The sequence below is a fragment of the Homo sapiens genome, chromosome 12, assembly GCF_000001405.40.
Source record: "Homo sapiens chromosome 12, GRCh38.p14 Primary Assembly".
NCBI classification, from domain to species: Eukaryota; Metazoa; Chordata; class Mammalia; order Primates; family Hominidae; genus Homo; species Homo sapiens.
This window is the reverse complement of record NC_000012.12, coordinates 97,538,973-97,562,981: the sequence shown is the minus strand read 5'-3', so window position 1 is coordinate 97,562,981 and position 24,009 is coordinate 97,538,973. Positions and strand designations below refer to the sequence as shown.

The 24,009-nt window shown below is 36.5% G+C and overlaps 1 long non-coding RNA gene across 47 annotated transcripts in view; it reads right to left on the bottom strand.

The window, feature by feature from the left end:
* Positions 1–24,009, bottom strand: part of RMST (rhabdomyosarcoma 2 associated transcript) — a 102,232-nt gene that overhangs the window by 2,054 nt on the left and 76,169 nt on the right. For 36 of the 47 annotated variants that reach the window (NR_186054.1, NR_186102.1, NR_186098.1 and 33 more), the window contains 2 exons: positions 2,284–2,445; positions 1,935–2,185 (listed from right to left, as the gene is read on the bottom strand). This is a non-coding gene — a long non-coding RNA (rhabdomyosarcoma 2 associated transcript). Of the gene's footprint in view, positions 1–1,365; positions 2,186–2,283; positions 2,446–10,899; positions 11,151–24,009 lie in introns of those variants that run through there. The other 11 variants (NR_186066.1, NR_186104.1, NR_186051.1 and 8 more) reach the window with 2 other exon arrangements.

Genomic DNA, 24,009 nt, shown 5'->3' with positions numbered 1-24,009 from the left:
GCCTATCTACCAACTCCCGAAACAGCATTCCAGACTATTAAGCACTGCCCTCTGCTTTATTTTTTAAAAATGCATTATTCAAATTCAAATAAAAGAAACAAGAACTTGAGTTCCTCCTTAGGAGTAAAGGCTAGGCAAGCTATTTCCATCTAGAGGTGACTACCATGACATCTTGGTTTATGTGAATCACAGGGAAGAGACTGGAAATAGTTAAACGAAAGGAAGTGCATACATAAATTCAATTATCATGCAGAAAACATGCAAATGATTTAAGCACTGCATCTGAAACTCTAGTTTATATTCATTAATCTCAGGTTGCACTTTTGAAGGAGAAAGACATGCTAATTGGGTCCAGATTAATGCACTCCCAAACCTCTCCAATTTGTTTTTAGGTGAGGGTTAAATGATATGTTTTAAAATAAACACAGCTGCTCATCTGCCTCCACCTTCTACCTCCCAGACTCCACCTCTACCTCCTCCCCCAGCTGGCTCAGCTCTCCCCACCAGCTACCCTCCCAACCCCCACCGCTCCTCTACCACATCTCTCCTTCCATTAGGGAAGGGGTTCAAGAGCCCTACCATTTTCCCTTTGAAAATACACTAGAAGAATAACACTGTTTCTTAGCCAGCTCAACACTTTCCCTTTCTCCACCAGCCACCAAACTCCAGAAACAGAGTCAATCACATATCAAATCTGCTGATGCTTAAATGGTAGCATCAAGAATGTGGATACATGGGAAGGCAGCCTTGCATTTGCTCAGGTAGCGGGTTCTTTCTACAAGTTTGGACCTGCATCCTTTGGATCAGTACTGAAGGGCAGTTTTAAAGTGTCGAGGCACATGCTTGCTGAAAGCCAACATTGCTGAAGGTTGGCATGGCAATCCTGTGACTGTTATGTGGGAAACTAGAGACTCAGGAGAGAACTTGGGAGTTTTGTTGCTGTTCTTCCTCTGTGGCGCACTCAGCCAGCAAAAACTGGCACCAAGCGGAGGGCACTCAAAATGCCTTTCAAAAGGATCCCTTGCTTCCTTTCTCCCTCCTCCCTGGCAAAATTATCTTTAAAAAAAGAAGAATGTTATTATTGATTAACAGATTGATTGATTTAATGTATTAAAACATTAGTTTGGGACACACATTTCAGGGAGAATCTTATCTTGTGAGGAGTGAAGCTTTTGAAATGGTAAAATATTCATTTCCTGGACCTGATCTTTAGAAAAACAAAGGAGGAGGAACTGTGGGCTACTGGGAGTAGACCTGGGCACGGAGCTGGGATGGAAGCAATCCTCTCTGAATGAGCAGCCACCAAGGAGTTAAACCAGGCACAAAAAAAAAAAAAAAAAAAAAAAAAAAAAGCCTTCAAACTAATTTCACACTGAAAGTGATGTTTAATTTGAATCATGCTCGTCCCAAAGGGAAAAGGTTAGTCTTGTCACTTGACTCATATCCCCTCCCCTTCCTCCTTTCATGTGAATTGAAAATTCAGATTCACCATTAATCATGATGTGACACGTTCTTTTTTTCCCGTTCCAAAAATCAAATGAAAGCCTGGGACCACATCTGAGAACCCAATGGTTGGCTAATTCTCCCAACCTGCGTTCACAACAGAGAGAAGACAGAACAAGGGCACATACAGACACAGAGACATAAACTACTGGACATGCACTCACAGCAATACACACAAATGCATACAGCTAGTAGCAGTCATTGGCTCGGAGGAGAGCCTTTCCGCCTAAATTGATTTTTGCATATTTACAAACGTAAAATTAGTCATAGTAAATAACAACATGGGCAAGACTGATATTAAATCTGTCAACAACCTGACAAATGCTCTGAGCACTCTTTAGTTAGGAAATACATGTATGATAGTCATTGCTCCTAAAAGAGAAAATGATTATACGCTAACCAAACCCTAAGTACAAGCTAAAGATATTCACCTCATGAAGCCATTCCTCAACTAGCCCCTTGGCACTTGCTGGAATTATTCACAGCACGAGCTCTACTTTCTCATTTTCTGCTGACTCCGTGTGGGTAATTTCTTTCTCATGATTAAAAGTGAGCTTGGCAGATCCTTCAAAGCATGGCTTTAGGTGTGTTGGGGCTCCGAGTGCATTCTTTGTCTAAGGCAGGTCTCCAGTAATTCATTACTGGACCACTGGATGAGCAGGTCAGGGGAATATTCCTGCACCTAAAATGATTTTTTAAAAGGAAAACTTTATAGATATCTTTATATAAACATATTTGTATACTGAAACATGCCACTGACAGATGAAATGAACTGTTTACCTTGGAAAGAATAGGTAGGCTTTTCTCTTGCAAGTAATCACTCCAGGCTTTCTGAATGTCATCCCAAAGCGATTCTGCCTCCGTCGACTTATCCAGCATCTGAGGTTGTGAGATAACCCTGGTAGCACTGGCCTCCTTCCCGGCCCCTTCATTATTAGCCTCCTGGTGGGTGAGATAGAATACAGTGAATGTAATAACCCTACTTCACACAACAGTCTTGCTCTCTCTTTTAAATTGAAAATCCCCTTATTACAAAACAAGGGGTGTTCTTTTTCTTCTACCTTTAAGTAGGACTGCCACATTCATTGCTTTTTACAAAAACGCAGCTGCTTTTTAAGCTACAGATAAATAGAATCTGCTAGGCGGTAATTCGACTCAGTCTGAATGCATTATTTTCTAAGACACTTTAGCGAGGGGCTTTTTATTATAAACTGGAATGAACAAGGAAAGTCCTTTTCTCTTCTAATTATGAACGTGTTTTGTTCCCTACTATTAACCTACAATGTCAGATTGATCTTCTTCTTCTTCTTCTTTTTCTGCAGTCAGTTCAATAAATCAACTTTTTTTTCTGGAAAATTAGAGGGATAATTATTAAGTCTTCATGAACTTCAATGACAAAAATGAAAATAGCACATGGGAAAAGCAAATGCTGAAACCATAAATAAAGACAACGAAGTGGCTCTCTGATGTCCAAGGTAACAAATCCTGTTTTGACACCAAAAGTTAAGATAAAAAGGATTTACTTAATTTTAATGAATTTAACTTTAATAAAATTAAGGCTTTCCAGGCATCTTATTATATTTGTTCACCTAGAAAGGATGAAGGTATTTTTAAAATAACATTTCTATATAGAGTGCCCATACCACTCGTGTTTGTTGTTTACTTGTTCATTATGCGTAATAGTTTGCAATGTAATCAGTCATCCCCACACTTCTAGAAGCAATGAAATGAAGAATTAAAACAGAAGAGGAAACACTGTGATAAAGCATATTCAATTTGAGCTTCTGCAGACATTTCTGTAACTTCAAAGATAAACACTGAGAAAAATCCTGAGTTCCTAATAATATCTAAAGGCAGTCTAGAAACTGGACGTTGGTTTAATTTTGATCCCAGTGTTGATATTCCTGACTATAATATTACAATAGACCATGGCGTTTATGATCTAGGTCTATATGGATATATTGCCTTGCCAAGGGGAGGGGTGGGGGGAATCCCACAGGATATCAGTGGGGTTCCAATTAAGGAAAAATAAATACTGCTGCAGCTCTGACAGTAAGTGGAGATTACCAGTACATCACAGAAGCACAGGCTGGTGCCCCACTACTAAATTTACAGATTTAAAGCCAATGCTGTCATTTCCCTTCCTTTGGCAATAATAGAAAGCAAAGTGTTGAAGATGAACTCTGCGTGGCAGATAGTTTCAGAACAATTTACTCTGTTTGTTTATACAATTTTGAGTTTATTTCCGATAACAGTAGGAGTGGAAATCAAAAGGGCCTTATGCAAAACACAAAGTCATTCATGAACCCTAAACTGAGATCACATGCATATTCAAAAGACCCCAGACCCAATGTATATCAGAGAGAGAGAGAGAGAGAGAGAGAGAGAGAAACCTCGAAATCATATTTGCATCTAAAACCATGCTGCCTTTCTTGTGTCGTTCTGTGTGAATTTTTTTAAAGGGGATATTTATCACAAGTGAGATGCAGACCAAATTTTCAGAACATTCCCTCTAGGAAGAGTATATTTGCAGTGAGTGTTGGTGACAGAGCTTTTGAGATTCTACTACTCTGCTTAGATTTGAATCCATTTTCTTTCCTTCTGTTACGCCTGGGAACAAATGAGGCCCCATCAGGTTGCTGGCCTCAGTATCAGGAGTCTAAGTGATGCTGTGGCAACACAAAAAGCCCAGTTTACCCAGAATAAATAACCAAGCCCCTTCCCTGAGACACAAATTGAAGTATATTAGGCATCACTATAAGAGTGAAATTGAATCCCAGGGCATCAATATCTCCATTGAGCTAACATCACAAAAACAAGCCTGCTCTAGCAATCAGGAATTTATGTTTGTAATACTGATGTGTGAGGGAAATAGAAGAAAAAAAAACTCAGCTGTATATTTGAAAAAAATTTAATTTCCTAGATATCCTGATACAGTAACACATTCTTTTTATAGAAACAGGTTTTACTGAGTTACTCACAAAAATATCTTTGGACATCTGCTATCCTCAATTCATTCTTTCTGCCTTTTAACCCTGAACAATCATTAACACAGACAAAAGATAGAAGGCAGATTTGAATGTGAGCTTATGAGGGACAGCATATAATCACCATACTCTGCCACCTGTGTTCGTCTTTTAAGTTAATGAAAAGTATGTGATGATAAATAAGCCATCGGCCAGAACTCTTAGCCCTTATCAAACTTCCAAAATAATTAAATAAGTAGCTCTACTAAGAGCAACTCCATGACGAAGGAGAACAAGCTGTACTTGTTGACCAAGACCCAATGGGACAGTGCTTTAACAACCTGGCCACATTTCATTCTGTGTTTGAGAAAAGAAAAATAAAGAGAAGGAGAAGCTAAGTAAGAAGAACGAGGAGGAGGTGATGAAGGAAGAGGGTAGAAAGGAGAAGGAAAAGGTAGAGGAGGAAAAATAAAAACACCAACGATTGCAACGAATAGATTGTTTCATTCCTTTCCATGTAAAAATCATTTTTTTATACAATCTCCCTCTCTAAGCTTCACTTTTTCTCCCTATAAGTCGAAGATAGTTGTGCCTGTCTTATTGGGCTCCTGTAAAGATTAAGTGAGGTTGTATGAGTTATCTGTGATACATCCGGTAAGTAGTAGTTGTCCAGTAAGAATCAGCCATTATTATTATTGGCACTGTTAATTAGGTGACCTATTCCCTTTGTGCCTCTCTACCTGATTCATTCCACAGCCATCTTCCAAACTCTAAGCACACCCAGCAAAGCAAAACAACCCCAGTACAAAGTGACCCCCAGCATCACTTCACTGTGTTCTTCTACCAGATTCAAATCACTTTATGCTTGCAATGGGAAGTCTAAACATGGACTTTGTTTTACCTCCAGGTTCTGAAGCAAAGACGATATATCTCAGAAATGGGAAAGAGGAGGCACTAAACGTGTAATAATTAGAGCAATCAGCTAAGCCATTCTGTGTTCTGAAAGGGTTTCATAGGTATAGCTAAGTCTCCAATTTATTAAGAGGTGGCATCCACAGGGAGAAAATAGACTCTATTTGTTTTCAGAGTTGTTGCCTTCCAATCCCGATTTTAAGTGAGTATGCACACCTCACACATGGCTGCACACATACATGCAGACATACACACAGCTGAATTAACAACCTCTCAGGTGTACTGCAACTCCACTCAAGAAACAGACAGCTTTAATTACTGCACCTGAAAGTCTTCACTCTTCCTTGACTAGTGATAAAAACATTAAGTTGCATTGCAAATATCAAGTAAATCTGATTTGCAAAACTGCCAAAATACTCCATCTTTCCTAAACAAAATGCCATCTAACAACACCCAAGTCATAAAAGAACATCAGGACTGTGATTCTATTATCAAGACAGATAAAATTTCAAATGATGAAATAGCAGCTTATTTTTAAACATAACTTGGTGTATTCTATTTTAACTTTGACCAAAAACGTTAAGCACCTTGTTTTAAGTGAAAAAGACAAGCCATATTATGAAGATGAACTTTGGCATGAATATACAGTTTCTTCAGGAAAAAAAAATACAGTGTTGTAAATATTAAAATGTCTGCTTTTCACCTCCTTTTTCCCAAGTCTATTTTCTAAATAGGGTTGTCTGAAATAATCTCATTTTTATAAAGTCAAGTATCTTATGACGATCAAACTTGATAATTAGTGTACAAGAAAATGCAGACTCTTAAAAGGGTAACTTCAAAAAGACTTTTTCCTCCTGGTGGCTGTTTGCCCATGAACATGCCTTCCAAGCCAGAAAGAGGCTCCAAGCTCCACTGACCACAGGAAATTCCAGCCAAGATTCTAATCTCCTCTGCAGAAGTCAGTACAGAGGCAATGGATGGGAACAACACAGCAGAGAATGCTATTGAATTTGGTGTGTCCTACAAATGAGGAAACACTGATATCTCCCCAGAATCACAGTCAACATGGAGATGCTCTAAATATAAAAAGTAAGACAAGCTTTTTAATTTCTTGTCAAGGCTTCCTGACATCCAACACTTTCATGAGGTTAAGAAATGTGTCCCCAGCTTCTGTTTTCTGTTCTCCTTCAGGGAACACGGTGAAGAGGCCGCCCAGCTGCCTTTTAACACGTCACACTTGGCTGACTCCCTTCCTTTCTAGGGGAGTATGTCTGCTGCATTTGGACTCACAGAAGAAAAAGCAAAATTAATTTAACATAAAAGAAATTCACGTATTTTTGCCGCTTTAATATTCGAGAGAATGCCCATGGTTTGGTTAAGTTGAAAAAGTTTTACAGAATGAAGATTACTGAGGCATAAATCACATAGGTAAAAACTGAGATGTAAGATGGGATGAAATTTAAAAGCTAATTAAGTTCAACCAGGGCTTCTCAAAGACAACATGTCCACTAATCTTCTTGTGCTAATATTTTGTTTTTCAAGGGAGCAGTAAGTGGAAAGTTGTCATGGTTGTAGATTCCACAGTGTGATCCTTTAGCAAGAACCTGAGAAGGGGGAAGAAAGATTAGATGCATGGGTTTCTGTGCCGAATGGATGCTGGGACGAAGATGCAAAGAATAGATAAGTTAGAGCTTCAGAGGAACTAAATTTGAAGCCAGCCGGTAAAATTGATTGAACCTTATTATCTCTAGTCACTGAGAAATTCCCGAGACAGTTGGATGCAATTTGAAAAGGTCAGAAAAATATTTCCTGCACAGCATTACTGCTTCATGGTTTAAGGGTGTACATTTGTGAGATGTCAACTCTAATCATTTTTATTGACTTTGCTTTCCAGAGACAGACAGACAGTCTGGGAGGCAAGACCAATAGATAAGAGAAAGGCAATCTTATAAATGAAAATCTCTCTTATTTTGTTCTCTCACTTGTGACTGTGAACAATTCCGAATCTCGCCCATTTGAAGGGAAATTATACCAACTTCACGGAGGGCTGACAGAATGGAAATGAAATCTAGGAAATTGTGGCTATAATTCTAGTGAGATTACTTTCTTTTAACTGCTATTTATTTAGCCTCTACTATATGCTAAACACATGAAACGTAGATGATGTTGGATTTTAATCCAAGTGTGAATATTTAAAATGAAACACCATAAAATACACCAAAGCATGGATGTTAATTTACTGTCGGCATTTCCATGGAGGAAAGGCTTTGTGAAAGAAGGAAATCCACAGGAAAAGGTAAACATTAAATGAAAGGTATCAATATACAGTCAAGATATTATTTCAATAAAGGCTGTATTGTCATTAGAGCTCTTCCAAATACAAAGAAAAAATATTTTTCTTTTTACTTGAAAGGAGTCTTGGATGCAATAAGAACCTTTTAGCAAATATGTTTACAGGTCTTTTGGGGGGGACATGCAATTAAAGGTCAAAGCTGACTTTTTAGTACAGAATGGGATGACCCATTCCAACCCTGCAAAGGTTTAATTAACATCTGACTTTTCTTTCTGTGCAATGCCATATGCTGTAGAGACAAATACAAGCCTATTTACTCTTCTCTTGTTTAGCAGCAAGACCATAACTTTTCAATGGCCCTGAGACCCAGCTGCCTGCTTTCATATCACATGCCAGCCCCATGAAGATGTCCTGGAAGCTCACTGGAGCTTTTCAACTAGCAAGGTATTTTCTTATGGAAAGCCTTCATTCTGATCAATTCCATTCCTCACAATATTTAATAATTTTAAATTGTATTCCATAATCACTACTACCAGCAATATAAGCAGCCAATAACAAAACATTTCATAATATCAAGTACCCCAAAAAAGGGAAAGAGCAAGATCATTAGCTAGACACCTAGATTCTTGGCAACGAGGGTAGAAATATCTAGCTTTTAATTGACTTTTTATTTCTATCTCACCTGAATAATTGATATTGGTTAGATATGAGTAATAACATTTTGTGAATCTTCAAAATTTTCACCTTTTGGGTTACCTTAAGACTTTTTTTTTTAAATTAAAAGTGTTTACTGAAACTTTGTGATGATATACAAGTCTCCAGTGAATCACATTGAAAACTTGAAATTGTCCACGTTTATTTTTGTAGGCCCTGTTTTATTGGCAGAAAAGTATCTGATGCGTGCATCTTTTGATTTCTACTACTTAAATTATCCATAGGGAAAAATTTTGGACCTTCTGCATAATCATTAATACGATTAATAATGATAATAATAACAATCCCAGAAGTATTATTACTATTAAAAGTCATAATGATAATAGAAATAGTCACCATTGGCTGGGCGCGGTAGCTCGTGCCTGTAATCCCAGCACTTTGGGAGGCTGAGGCAGATGGATCACCTGAGGTCGGGAGTTCAAGACCAGCATGACCAACATGGCAAAACCCTGTCTCTACTCAAAATACAAAATTAGCTGGGTGTAATGGCACATGCCTGTAATCCCAGCTAATCGGGAGGCTGAGGCAGGAGAATCGCTTGAACCCGGGAGGCGGAGGTTGCAGTGAACTAAGATCATGCCACTGCACTCCAGCCTGGGTGACAGAGCAAGACTGCATCTCAGAAAAAAAAAAAAAAAAAAAAAGAGAAAGAAAAGAAAAATCACCATTAGTTGAGCATTTACTATGTGTGTATACTATGCAAATATATCATCTCATTTAGTCCTTGCAGTCAACTTAAGTAAACTTGATTTTTTTTTCAATTAAATATTACTCATGCTGGGAATGAGGCTTAGAGAGGCTTAGAAGAGATTGGACTTGGTCAGAAAACTAGTAGGTATTGATGCTGGGACTCAAACCCAGGCTTATTTGATTTGAGTCTACATTATTTCAAAGCTTCAAACTATTCATCATGCTCCAGGGGCATTACAGGACCAGGAGTGTCAACTGTTGAAGATCACACAGCATTTCTGAAGTTGAGTTAAGCCAAAGTTCACTGCTCATTTAGACTGAGGCATGACCACAACACACCTGCTAAAAGCCCACAACCTGCAACCACCTTCTAGAGCTATGAGCTAAGAGTTGTTGATAGACATCTTTCCTGCCCTCATGGAACTTAGTTCAAAAAGAGAGTAGCACACTCCTAGCAGGCTGCTTAATCAGGTTGCACAGCTCAACAGCACCACACAAATTCTGGAGGCTAACTGTGCATAAATTTCTTTTCTATTTGAATTATCTTTGAATTATGTTCTGAGATGAGCAAGAAAAGGCCATTTCTTCTCAGCTGGGGCTGCAATTAAGCCAAATGTGTTAGTTCAATGAATTATTCTCCAAACACAACTTTAAAAGGTAAAATGTATCGCTATTTTGTTATTATCACAGGCAAATAATTAGAATAAAAATAAAAAAAAGATGGGTCACAGGGTTTAGCACATAAACCATTATAGGTCTTTTATTTTAACAAAATGTGCCAAATACAGTCATGTTTCAACTGGTAAAATAACATTTTACCAATCATTTATCCTAACAAATTCACAAAATGTATCCCCAGCAATAGTTCTTATTTACAGAGAGATGATGACCATAAGTGTTGAAATGCTGGTAGGCTGACCTAGCACATGTTGTCCAGGTACCTGTCTTCACCTGCCTTTTGTAGGCTCACTCTTACCCCCTTCTGTCTGGAGGAGAGCCTAGTTTGCTTGTCAGGACTCCTTTGAGGAGACCTTTCTTCCAATTCTGAAAGCAAACTCTTCTACTAACAAAGCTGTCTTGTAACTCGAGAGGCACTAAAATGAACCAAGAGGAGAAATACAAGTAGCTGGGTTGCATTTCTTACAGAATAAAGTCACTGCTGTGGTCTAAAAGTGAAAGCATTTAACAGCAACAACAACAACAAAATAGAAAGGGATTTAGGTGCAGCTACTGAAAGGTAGAGGAATGAGTAAAGAGGAGGCTGGTACACAAAACAAACTTAAACCTGGAGTGCAAATTCCTCAGTGTTGCTGACTCCTTGCTTAAGAACAGAGCAGGGCAGGGAATGACACAGTAGAGGGTGAAATGATGCCCTTTATTTGTACCCCTGAAGGGCTTTGGAACTAAAGGAGTCCAATTCCCAATCAAGGGAGAAATGATAAATGCCCTCCAAGGTAAACTAGGAATCCTAGGAATTCATGTCAAGGAATCCATTTTTAAGCCTTGATTTCTTTAAAAGACAATGCCTGAAGAAATATTTTATGTCAGGTTAATTGGCTAATTTTATTTCACTTTTTAAATACCAACCTGCTTTCAAAATAGATTACGACTTTATTTAAAAATTTCTGTAATAAAAGTTCTGGAAGAAAACATCAAGCTGGCTTATTATATGAGATTTCTATTTTATCTGATTCTTCCTCTATGCACAAACTCAGCTTCAGTCATTAGTATCATTAAAATTAACTTTCTAGAAATGATGCAAAGGAAGGATAACATACAATTAAAATACAATATTTACAGCAATCGAAGCAGGTAACACACCTCAGAGGCTGGGGGGAATGAAAACAGCTTTTCCTTTCTCTTCTTTGGATTAAACATAATAATTTAGCGATTTCTTACAACCTATGACTAGATTCTTCATTTTAATCGTTCATCCAACATTTCAATGTCACAATGTTAAATATTCTGGGTAGCTAGCTGTCCTTCTCAAGAGGATTTTGGTAGCATGGAACTCAAATGTTATCTTGGTCCATTTTCTGCAAATTACAGGACTCTCCAGAGCATAGTCGTTCCTATGTGGGGAGATAGCATGGCTTAAATTTTTCTGAATAATTTTCAAAATCAAATTTGAAAGTTTTTATGAGATATGATCCTCCCTCGTGGGTGATATGAAGCATAACCTAAGGGACAAACATGAAAATAATAAGCATAAAACATATTAGCATATAGATGCCTTTGAAATAATAAACAGCAGAAACCAAAAGGCTTATCCCCAAAAGAAAGTTATGAGAAAATATGAAATTAACGTACACTTCTCGCATGACAACCCTAGCTTGAAAGCCAAACAGAATACACTTATTCAGCGAAGAGTGGAATGGCCAGAGCAATGGAGAAATAACTCCCACATCAACTCTTCTTTGTTCTGTTTTGATCATTATTACCACATCAATATTCTCTATTTATCCTTCACCTCATGCCATTCCTTTCCTCCTTTAAACAGAAAAATAATTAGCAGGCAAATAAGTATTTCCCTTTTGCTTCTCCTATGAGCCACTACCAGGTAGACAGATGGAATATTCTTTTTTATTTTTATTTTTTCTCCTTTATCTACCTTTCTATATTGCCCATTGATGGCACACAAAAGGCAGGGCTTGGTTATTCAATTACCAAGAGGACTAAGGAGGTTTAGTGGAAAATGAAACAGAACTTGGTCTTTTTTTTTTTTTTTTTTTAAAAACAATGAACCATGAATGCCATTAATGCTTTTTCTATTTAAATTGGTAGAGCCTCTCAAGATAGCAAGAGAGCATATTGTGGTGTTGTAGAAAGAATATGGTCTTTGGAGTCAGCCTTATTTAAAGGTCCAATCTGAGTAATTTCAGAAAAGTTGATTTGACACAATTAGTTAAGTGTTCTCTTCTACGAAATAGTGATAATGTTGTCCACTTTTCTGAGTTGCGACAATTAGAGGTTATATATGTAAGCTACCTGGAACAGAGTCAGTGCTCTATTCACCTGGATGAATGGATCAATGACATTATAAAGACTCTATAAATTTGCAATTCCAGAAAAGCCAAATACTTTCCCTTTTGCATTTTGCATGTATGTGCATGAATATATGGCTCCAAAGACAATTATGAAGGAGAGATGCCACAAAATATGATGCTATGTTCTAGATGCATAGTGGCACGGGATTGCAAAATAGTTCCAATTGCACTAAGAATAATAAAGTCGAGAAAATAGAGATCCTACAGAAATATTTTATCTTATGGAGCCAGGAATGGGAATTTAAATTTAACTTTGCAATTACTGACAGGAATCTATGAATATTTTATGTGATTCCAGGAAAGTGAGAATTTGCTAACTACATCTTAAATTACCTGACACAGGTGAATTCCCTCAGCAAGTTCATGTTGGATTGTTGAAATACAATATTCCTATATCTGGACACTATGGACATTATTTCAGTCCTTTTAATATTTTTATTATTCATTTATTTATTTATTTATTTGAGACAGAGTTTCAGTCTTGTTGGCCAAGCTGGAGTGCGATGGCATGATCTTGGCTCACCGCAACCTCCGCCTCCCAGGTTCAAGTGATTCTCCTGCCTCAGTCTCCCAAGTAGCTGGGACTACAGGCATGTGCTATCACACCCAGCTAATTTTTGTATTTTTAGTAGAGATGGGGTTTCTCCATGTTGGTCAGCCTGGTCTCGAACTCCCGACCTCAGGTGATCTGACTGCCTTGGCCTCCCAAAGTGCTATATATTTATTTTTAACGGCTGTCAATACAATATTTAGAACACTGAGAAAGGGTGCTTCACCAATGATACCATTTGATATTCTCCACTTGTTTTTAACTTTAAACTTTTGATTGATACTAATTACTTAACAAACATTGTATGTTGTGGCCTCTTGGCATATAAAACGGGAAATAAAACATTTATTACAAAATACCGAATTCTATAGGTATTTGAAAATCAAACTTGGGTTATTTCACTTTGTTCTCTTTCTGTGGAGCACTGGTCTTGAACCTACCCTTCATTAATGAACACCTGCTTATATGTCAACAGTTCCATTTCTATCAAAATTGACCCATCTATTTCTTTAATGTTTATGATTTCTCATCAGTATCTCAGACTCTGCTGACAGATAGTAAAGACATTGGAACAGGGGAAAAACTAAGACAGAAAAACCTTCAGGGATATATTTTCTTGACAACCGTGCTGCCTCATTGAGTTTGTGAAAAGCATGTTGCTGAGAAAGTTTTGACTGCTCTGCATGAACAGAGTAATGGTTCTATGTTTACTTTTTCCTGTTTAAACTTACCACATTGGGTCTACCCCTTGAGACAGACACCATGTGAATGGCATCCTTGCTGAATGTCCTTTAATCCTCATCTTTCTTATTCACTCAGGCCTAAGAGAGGCCTAATTTATTGCCCTTTCGGGCTAATTTTAAAAAGAATGTTTAGAAAGACATACCCCAGTAAATAAACCAAAAGCTACTTTTGGCTTTCAGGCTTTGAGAATATTTTGATTGCCCATATGCTCTCTGAGAATGGCTCTTTTGGCTATAAAAGAAAAGATTCTGTTTGATGAATTAAGTGAATACATATTTATACAAAATGTATATTCTTAACTCTCTGCCAGTGATTTGGTACGATAAAACATACTCTTTTCTGAAAACTATAAAGGACTTGAAGTTCTACCAATGTTCCCTTAAGGAGATTTCAACTTCTTATGGAACCTCGTTTGAATGCTAATGATGTGCAGATATATATGTTTCATAGTCTCTCTCAGAGTTCAAAACCACCCAGGGTGCGTAGTAGGAAATACTAAGGCCAGACTTCCTGCAAACTCTCAGATCTTTTTGTTTTGTTGATGTTCTCAAATCATTCTTTCAAAAGTTTCTGCTGTCAGATCTTAGTGTATGTTAGAGCTTGAAAAAATATCTATTGCAAGGGATAAAATGAAAATAAACCTTTTCAAGTCAATCTCCATTATTTATTTTAAAAATTCAATTGCTAGACTTTTCTCCATTTGTTTTTTTATGTGATCAAAATATGTTTTCTGCATCCAAATTGGAAGGAAGAAGTTAAATTGTCCCTGTTTACAGACATGATCTTATTTATAGAAAACCCTAAAGATTTTACAAAAAAACCTGTTATAGCTAATAAACAAATTCAGTAAATCTGCAGAATACAAAGTTACCATATAAAAATTAGCAGTACTTCTATAAACTAATAATAAACTATCTGAAAAAGAAATTTTTAAAAATCCCATTTATAATAACTATAAATAAAATACTCAGGAATAAATTTAACCAAGGAGGTGAAAAACCTACACACTGAAAACTATAAGACATTGATGAATGAAATTAAAATAGCCCATGTTCATGGATTGAAAGAATTAATATTGTTAAAATATTCATGATCTACAGATTCAAAGCAATCCCTATCAAAATTCCAATGGCATTTTTACAGAAACAGAAAAAAATCCTAAAATTTGTATGGAACCACAAAAGACTGTGAATAGCCAAAGCAATCTTAAGCAAAAAGAACAAGGCTGGAAGCATCACACTACTTGACTTCAAAATATACTACAAAGCTATAGTAATCAAAACCGCACAGGTCTAGCATAAAAACAAATGCATAGACCAATGGAATAGAATAGAGTGACCAGAAATAAACCCACCCATTTATGGTCAATTTATTTTTGACAGAGGTGTCAGGACTACATAATGAGAAAAGAACAGTCTCTTTAAGAAATGTCAAGGAAACTGAACATTCACATGGAGAAGAATGAAAGTAGGCTCTTATTTCAAACTATATACAAAAATCAATTCAAAATAGGTTAAAGACTTAAATGTAAGAACAGAAAATGTAGAACTACTAGATTAGAACATAAGGGAAAAGCTCCATGACATTGGTGTAGGTAATAAATTTTTTTAAAATGTGACCCCAAGGCACAGGCAACAAGAGCAAAAATAGACAAATGAGAATACATCAAACTAAAAAGCTTGTGCACAGCAAAGGAAATAATCAACAAAATGAAGAGAAAACCTACAGAATGGCAGAAAGTATTTGCAAACTATACATGTGATAAGGGGCTAATATCCAAAATATATAAAGAACTCAAACAACTCAGTAGCAAGAAAACAAATAATCTGATTTAAAATTGAGCAAAGCACCTGAATAGACATTTCTCAAAAGAAGACAGACGAATGGCCAACAGGTATATGAAAAGAGGCTCAACATCACTAATTGCCAGACAAATGCAAATTAAAACTATAATCAGATATCACCTCAACTTGTTATAGTGGCTATTATCAGAAAGACAAAAGACAACAAGGGTTGTTTTGGATGTGTAGAAAGGGGAGTCCTCTCACACCATTGGTTAGAATGTATATTAGTATAGCCATTATGGAAAACAGTATGAAGATTCCTCAAAATATTAAACATAAAACTGTAATATAATCCAGCAATCCCACTACTGGGTATTTGTCCAAAGGAAATAAAATTCATATGTCAAAGAGTCAAAGAGATATCTGCATTCCCATGTTCATTGTAGCATTATTCACAACAGCCAAGATGAAGAATCAGCCTAAGTGTTCATCAACAGATGGATGGATAAAGAAAATGTGATACGCATACATAGTGTAGATGTTATATATACATATTTTTATTATATTATTATTATTATTTAGTGATTAAAAAAGAATAAAGTCCTGTCATTTGCAGCAACATAGATTGAACTGGAGGTCATCCTCCAGTTGACCTCCAGTTCAATCTTTCTATGCCTGGCTATTTCATGTGAAATGAAATAAGTGAAATAAGCCAGGCACAGAAAGACAAACACTGTGTGATCTCACTTATATGTGGAATCTACAAAAGTTTAACTCATAGAAAGATAGAGAAAAATGGTGGTTACCAGGAGCTGGAGAGGGTGAGAGGTTGGAGAGATGTTGGGCAAAGGATACAAAATTTCAGTTAGACAGAAGGAATTAGTCCAAGAGACCTACTGTACAATATGGTGACTATAGTTAATTGTATGCCTGAAAAATCACTAAGAGTAGATTTTAAGTGTTCTCATCACATACAAAAAAGATAAGTATGTGAGATAATGTATATGTTAATTAGCTTCCTTGAACCACTCCCCATGTATAGACACATATTTCAGAACATCATATTGTACATGATAAATATATACAATCTTAATTTGTCAATTAAGAATTTTTTTTCACCTTCCACTACCATAAAATAGTCACAAAATTTACTTTGGCATCAACATTTCCTTGATTTTTTTATTATTATTTTCTTACAAGATGGAGTCTTGTTCTGTCACCCAGGCTGGAGTGCAGTGGTGAGATCTCGGTTCACTGCAACCTCCACCTTCCAGGTTCAAGCAGTTCTCCTGCCTCAGCCTCCCAAGTAGCTGGGATTAGAAGTGTGTGCTACCATGCCTGGCTAATTTTTGTATCTTTAGTAGAGATGGGGTTTCACCATGTTGGCCAGGCTGGTCTCAAACTCCTGACCTCAAGTGATCCACCCACTTTGGCCTCCCAAAGTGTTGGAATTACAGGTGTAAGCCACCACACCCAGCCCATTTCCTTGATTTAAAACATAGATGTGAAAGATTAGATCTCTCCATAAAAAAGCAGTATTTTTCAAATATTGTCAGTGACAGGGAAAAATTAAAAGTCCTCAAAAATAGCAATGCACCTCAGATAAAAGCCCTTCAAGGATAATGACAACCAAATTACCAAATTTAGGATATACCATAAAAAAATAACAATAGTTGATGGTAATAATGATTGAGGCGTATCTCCTTCAGCTCTACTTAAGTCATCCTCTTAACAGTTCCTACTTTCTTTTTGTGCCAATGGTGACTAAACACTCAAAATTGCACCAGCAGGTAAATCCTTCCTGTTATCTGAAGTGTTTATGTCACTTGATGAACTGTTGTTTACATAAGAAACTGGCATATTCCCATTTCTCATCCCATCCAGTGACACAAGTAATTTGTAAAAAGTGTGCCCTATCCATCTCTTCTTCCATTCTAAAGCTGTTAGACATATTTACGTGGAGTCATAGGTAACCTGCAGTGTTAGAAATAAGACTAGAACTTGCTCATCCCTAGGATTTTTTCCTCATCCAATCCCATAACCTGCCATATTTCTGCCCTTGAAATTTTATAGTCCTAATGAAAACGCAAATATCCCTAGCCCTATCCCCTAATTATCTGTTTGCATTTCTACTTGCTAGAAAAGCTTGGGAGTAACTGGAAGCCAAAAACTGAGAGTGCTTTCCAAAGATGCTAACTGAAGGTGATAGAAGAAGAGATACAGGAGAGAATATTCACATTCCTTAAGGTCAAGCTCAATGACTGATTAGTTTTAAAAAAATTGTTCTCTGAGGGTGGGACATGTCTGCAGGGTGTATTCAAAATTATCCACAGCATTAATAATCCCACAAATCTCTTATTTATCATTGTGAAGGACATCTAAGAGTCAGACTCTTAATCTTAGATCTGTCCCTCACCAGCTCCATGATGTTCCCTCTATACTCGCAATGTCAACCACTGCGGACTGTGGAAAGAAGAAAACATATGTAAAGGTGCATTATAAACTACTCCATAAATGTTGGTACTATTTTGGGGAGATATAGTTATCATGGTGATGATGATGGTGATGATGATTGTTGCTAGTTGAGTACCAGTTGCCTTCATAATGCAGTATATGAAAGGAAAAATATGAGGAAATTGACTAGAGAGAGCCTGAAGTGCAAGAGTGTAATATAATGTAAATGTGATTTTGTTGCTCTGACCCAGAATGGGAAAAACCATGGGCACATCCAAAAGGTCTTGTGAAAAATGATTCTCTTTAGTTCTCTTCCAACGTATTGAATATGTTTACAAATAATAGATGCCTATTAATAGATGTCATTTATTGGAATTTTTTACCCTGTACTTAGTACTGCTAAGCATTTTGCATGAATCATCTTATTCTGTTAGTGGGGGCAGAAATTGATATTCTATCATATTAGGTAACAAATACATATTATATAGCAGGAATCAACAGGATTATATAAACCTCCAAAAAGTCATGTGACTTTTTAATGGGATTTCATTGGACTGATTAATTCAGGAGAAAAAGAGATACAAGAAAATTGATTTGACCATCTGGACTGATTGGAGTAGATTGCAGAGAAATTAGTTGATAAAATAATATTGCTGTGTGGCAGGACAATAGGAAAGGTTTCAAGGAAATTGATAGGTAATGAACATAATTTACAATTCTAGCGAAGGTATGGTACCATCTCTGGCTATGGAACTCGATTCCCCCAGTACACAAATACACCCCTGAAAATTGTGCCATTCTTCTGAAGACTTAGCCATTACATTGAACGTACTGTCCACTCTCTGATTACCTATGTGTCTAGAGTTGATTTTCACCAGTTTTTAAGGAATTTACAATTCTGGCACTAACCTAAGACAAAGCCTACACTATCATGTGGGTTCTCTGCTGAGGATTACAAACTAATTTTTACTATCAGGCTAACCAAACCCAACTGGGCAGGCACAATTGTTACTAAAAGTTATATAATATGTCTTAACTTCAAATCTAAATCTGATTATTCCATCACAATACGTTTTAGTAAGAATGAACTTGAGTAACCATGAGTAAGCCAAGATAAAACCCCCAATACCAATTTTTCCATTTAGTTTGACAATATGCTTTGGGCTTGTTAATGCAATATTCTAACTAGCATCAAAACCTGGAGTGTTTATTTATAGCATTAGTCTTCTAGTCTCCTCTTCTTTCTTTTTGATAGAAGGGCAAGGAGGTAGGCAAATCACTGAAGAGATATAATACAAAATAGGAAAAGTGAATGCCTCTACAGATTCCTACTTCTTAGAGTAAAATGGGAATAATTATCTTTGCACCACTGGGCTAAACTGAATTGCATATTTAAGAATAGCACAAAACTAAGAGATCATGGCTATAGGATAGCTTTCTTTGCTTACCAAAATGATGGATACATTCCTGAGATGACTTATTTTCAAACCCCAGAAGCCACATTTTAACAACATGAGATGTAGAAGATCATACCGGTGAGTTTGAATCCTGGCTCTTTCAGGTAGGATTTGTGCTTCCATTTTCCATTCATAAAAAAGGGAGAATAGCAGCCCCCACCTCAAAGGTTTGTCAGAATTAGATGTAAAGTACTGAGAACAGTGTCTGGCATATAGTAAACATTATATAAATGTTAGACAGCAGCAGGAGCATTATTCATAGTCATACGCACATCATTTAAGAGACAAAAGAAAACCTCCATATTATGCCAGCTTCAGCACAAAGGGAAGGGAATTAAATATGATTTCATTATCCCAGTGATTGTGAATGTATTCATTATCATATATAGAGCGCTCATTATGTGCCAAACACTAAAGTATTAAACAGGGCAGAAAAATCGCCAGTCCTTATAGCATTTACTTTCTAGAGGGATGATAGACAACCAACAACTCTATGGTATAAAGTCTTGCAGTGATGAGAACTGTGGAAAAAACTAAAAGGAGGTAGAGAAATGCAGAATGGCCTTTACTCTGTCCCCACATTCGACTGTTTTTGACAAAAAGGCTTGGTGCGGGCCCTGCTTTCCTCCTGGAAGGAATGCTCGTGCTGACATTCTAAGTAACTGCTTCACTGAAATCCCAACCATTTGGATGCAACAAAAATAATCCAGCATATGAGCACATCCAGATAGACATATGTACACTGGTTTTTTAAAATGTAATGTGTATGTAATTTCCCGAATGGCTGGTTGTCACATCCATCTGGTCTTATTTCCATAGCACTTGAATGCACCACGAGGATATAAACCCTAAAAGCTAGAAAACAGAATTTAAATACCCAAACACATACGAGGTGTGTTTTCAAAAGCAGCAGACCTCAAGTGAACACTGTGGTAACTTCATTAACTTCTCAGCCACAGTCGAGAGTAGCTGAGACTAAGCATAAAGGCCACAGAACATAAAAGACATTCCACTGCAGACCTCATTAAGTGGACTTAAGAGAAGCTTGACAAGCTAATGACAAAAATCTAATTTGGACTTTCTGGATGTAAGAACCCTGAACAAGTCCAAATACACCGAAACTCTGCCATGCGTGCTATCTGAAAAGGCAACAACCCCATGTCAATTAGGGCCGTGTAGTTCATGAATCAAAGCCCCAGAGATGGATGTGGTCCTATTCAACCACACTGAATAGGAAATCATATTCTATGTGTTTTGGGGTTTGGGCTCTGGTCCTATTTAAATTGCACAGATGTTGTAGGTTTCTAAATTAACAGTGGAGGTGTTCATCAGGCTGCATATATTGAACAAAGACATGGCTAGATCTAGACACCACACTGTACAGAAAACATTTTTGGTATTATTTTCTCTTTTTCGAGAAGTCCTTTCCTGTTTCTAAATTCATCAGCACCTGTAGAGTCCAGGCCAAGTGAGATTACAATGATTTCCATGCCATATTAAAATTATCTAGTTGCTTCAGGTGTGTTTATTTCACTCCCCAACTACTTGTATATCCCTTGAGTGGAGAAGCATAATAATGATAATAGAGTAGTTCTTGTGTATGCCATGCACAAGGGGCAGTACCTTGCAAATCATAATTCTCATATCAATCTTATGATCAACTCAATTTTATAGACATGGAAGCTAACATTCATATAATTGTCCCCACCTCTAATTAGTGGAGAACCAAGGATCTAAACTCAGGCTACCTGACTTCCAAGCCCACTTTCATATTCCACTACCCAGTGCAAAAAGGAATAAATGCTTGTTGAAGGAATACATGAATGAATGTGTTTCTTAATATCCACAGAATTTAAAAGACAAATAATTTATCTGTTAATGATATCATTGTTGCAATAAGCATATAGTAATTATTATAATAATAAGGATAGTTATTTAGGATCCTGGAAGACATTGTGCCTTGCACGTTTTATGTTCCTATAGTGCCTTTTCAATAGCTGACATACAGAAGGTATTTTTAAGATAATTGTTAAATCAGTAAAATACTTTAATCCAATGGCTTCCTTGGGTCATTTTCTGTTTCCTATATAAAACTTATAAAAAGGAAAGGAAGAATCTTCTTTTTCTTTTTCTTTTTCTTTTTTTTTAAATCTGCCTCCATGTGCTAATTTCTTAAGAAATCTCTAGACATTTTACCATATTTAGATCTCTGAGCTTTTGTCTGAGCCTGAGGGAGATCTAAGTTCCTGGTTCCAGCTTTTCTAACTCGCCCACTCCATTTTCATACAAGCCCTATTAATAAGAGTGGAAATGAGAATGTTTAACTGTTGAAGGAAGGCAGTGAGTCAGGGTATCTTAATAAATGTTTACCGAGGAGAAACTAATTCTATCCACCTTTTGAAACCTGGATTTCTTAATATACTCATTTCTGTGCCCTATAGTTAAATGTAGTATTATTCACTTAAGACATTTTTGTTTGCCAATATTCCGTGGAAAAACAGTATTATTACCTTGTTTTTCCAAACAGTCCGGAAAAGGATTCCAAGTATATTCTCCTACCTTCATCTTTCCTGTTTTCACTGAAGTAATACCAGGTAAATCACTTAACATCTCCGTGTACTTTATAGAAAATGAATGCAATATTACTTGTCTTGTCTTGCTGCTGTGAAAATCAAATATGGTAATGTGTATAGAGTTATTTTTGAGCTATGAAGTGTTGTATAACTGTTAGAAATTGTTAGAAAATAAGAAAGCCAGAAGTGTATGTACTATATACTTCCAGTAAGCCAGATATTTAATTTTGTCCTTACATAAATGATATATGTGTACAAAACACACATATATATATATATATACACCTGGGACAAAAAGGACTTGTGTATCTATCTATATCTATATCTATATCTATATCTATATCTATATCTATCTATCTCTCTATCTATTTATCTATCTAATCTATGGATACACTCACAGTGATTGGAAATTTTACTGCTTAGAAGTTTAAGTAAATTAATGAGTGCCAGATTTTAAAACCTTCTCTAATTGCCTCTGTTGGTTTCTAACACAGAGCTACTGTACTTTATGCAGTAATTATAGTTATTATTTACTGAGTATAAACTTGACGTTAGGCATTGGGTTAAGGCATTTATATACATTATATAGTTCATTCACAACACCACTATAAATAGGTATTATTTTCTTTTCTTTCCAAATGGGTAAACTAGGGCCCAAAAGATCTAGGAAAATGCCTCCTAGTCACATTGCTAGCAAATGACAAAGGCAAAATTTGAATTTAGGTCTGCCCGTCTACAAGCTTTGCTTAGCAATTCAAGTCCCATTTGTCTGAAATTTGCATTAATCCAAGTGTGTATTAATCCATGTGCTATACTTTTCAGGGAACAAGTTCAAATGAATTCCATTCTTTGTGAAATGTTATAGAGTTCCTTCGGTCAGACAATAAACCAACCAAAAATATACATCTTTTTCAAAAACAGGAGCTTTAAATTTTTTAAAATGTCTTCAGGGGCTTATGGCCCCTGGGCCAGGTAACACACTGATCGTGAAATATAGGTGATTGACAGTTACAAATGGAGTTAATGGTCATAGTTTTTATTCATGGTAACCACTGTTCACTCTCTTAGACTTCAAGTGTCCCTACTGTGTGCACACCACTACAACACTACTCAGTGGTAAAGCTGTGACTGTGGTTAGACAGAAGGTTAACAAAGAAATAGATTTCCCTCAATGCGCCTACAATCTATCCTTTGGAAAGGAAATCAGGATACGCCAAGCAGTCAGAGTCAAATTAATTTTAGAATACATTAGCAATACTTAGAGGTAATAAAACTAAATCAAAATTTCTTCAAAGGATTAAGTCCTTCAGCCTTTAACTCAGTCAGACCTGCCTCCCTCACATGCCAATTAGAGTTCAAAGACAAGATTCACACACTTCATTTACAGATCTGTTGAACCTTGGGCACAAATGATAAATCCTTAATAAGTCAGAAAGATAGCTATATTTATTCTTAAAATTAACTAATTTGCACACTGAGGTTGGGTGATTTGCCTAAAGACAATTCATTGAAATGTCTGATAAAATTTCATAACCCTGGTTCCGATTTGACATCACTGACCTGTTTTCCCATTTTAAAGTTAAAATGTAGAAATGCTCATGTGTGTCAAGAGTCTTACACAAAACACGTTCGCATCTCCACATGAAGGTTAAAACAAAACAAAACTTTACTAAAATATTTAGATAATCTCATGATAGCAAAAAGTGCCCAGGCATCGTTTTGTTTAGAATAGATTGCTGTACTTTTAGGAAGGAATTTTCTTCCTTTGTCTGTGCTGTAAAAGCAGACTTGGGTTTATTTAGCAGTTGCCTTAGTGAACTCAGAAATAAACATACCTGACAAATCAAACTGGTTGGCCAAATCTAGTGTCTGAATTCAATGGTTAGGCGATTTTATGAATGTATGTGCACACACAGTTACATACACATACACTTTGGTTCTGTAACAAAGAACTCTCTTGCACTGTCCATGGAGTATTTTCCAAGCAAGCTACCTTCAGCCACAGGGAAATGAAACTTTCCAATTCTTCATCTCCAAGAATTAAGGAATTTTACATTAAGCACCTTTGAAAGGCCTAATGCTTTTAAGTGATAATCAAAGGCAAGATAATTCTGAAGGTGACTACAGTATTCTTTTTTCTGACAGTGTACTATTAATCATAACTGTAATGCACACAAATTTTATTTTTAAAATACTGAAATTAGCTTCATTGATTAGACAGCAAATAGCAATAATATGTTAAAATTAGTATTGATGTAGAAAATGGCAATCAAATGGCCCAAACAGTTAACTCATAATGCCCATTTTTCTATTTTTGATTTA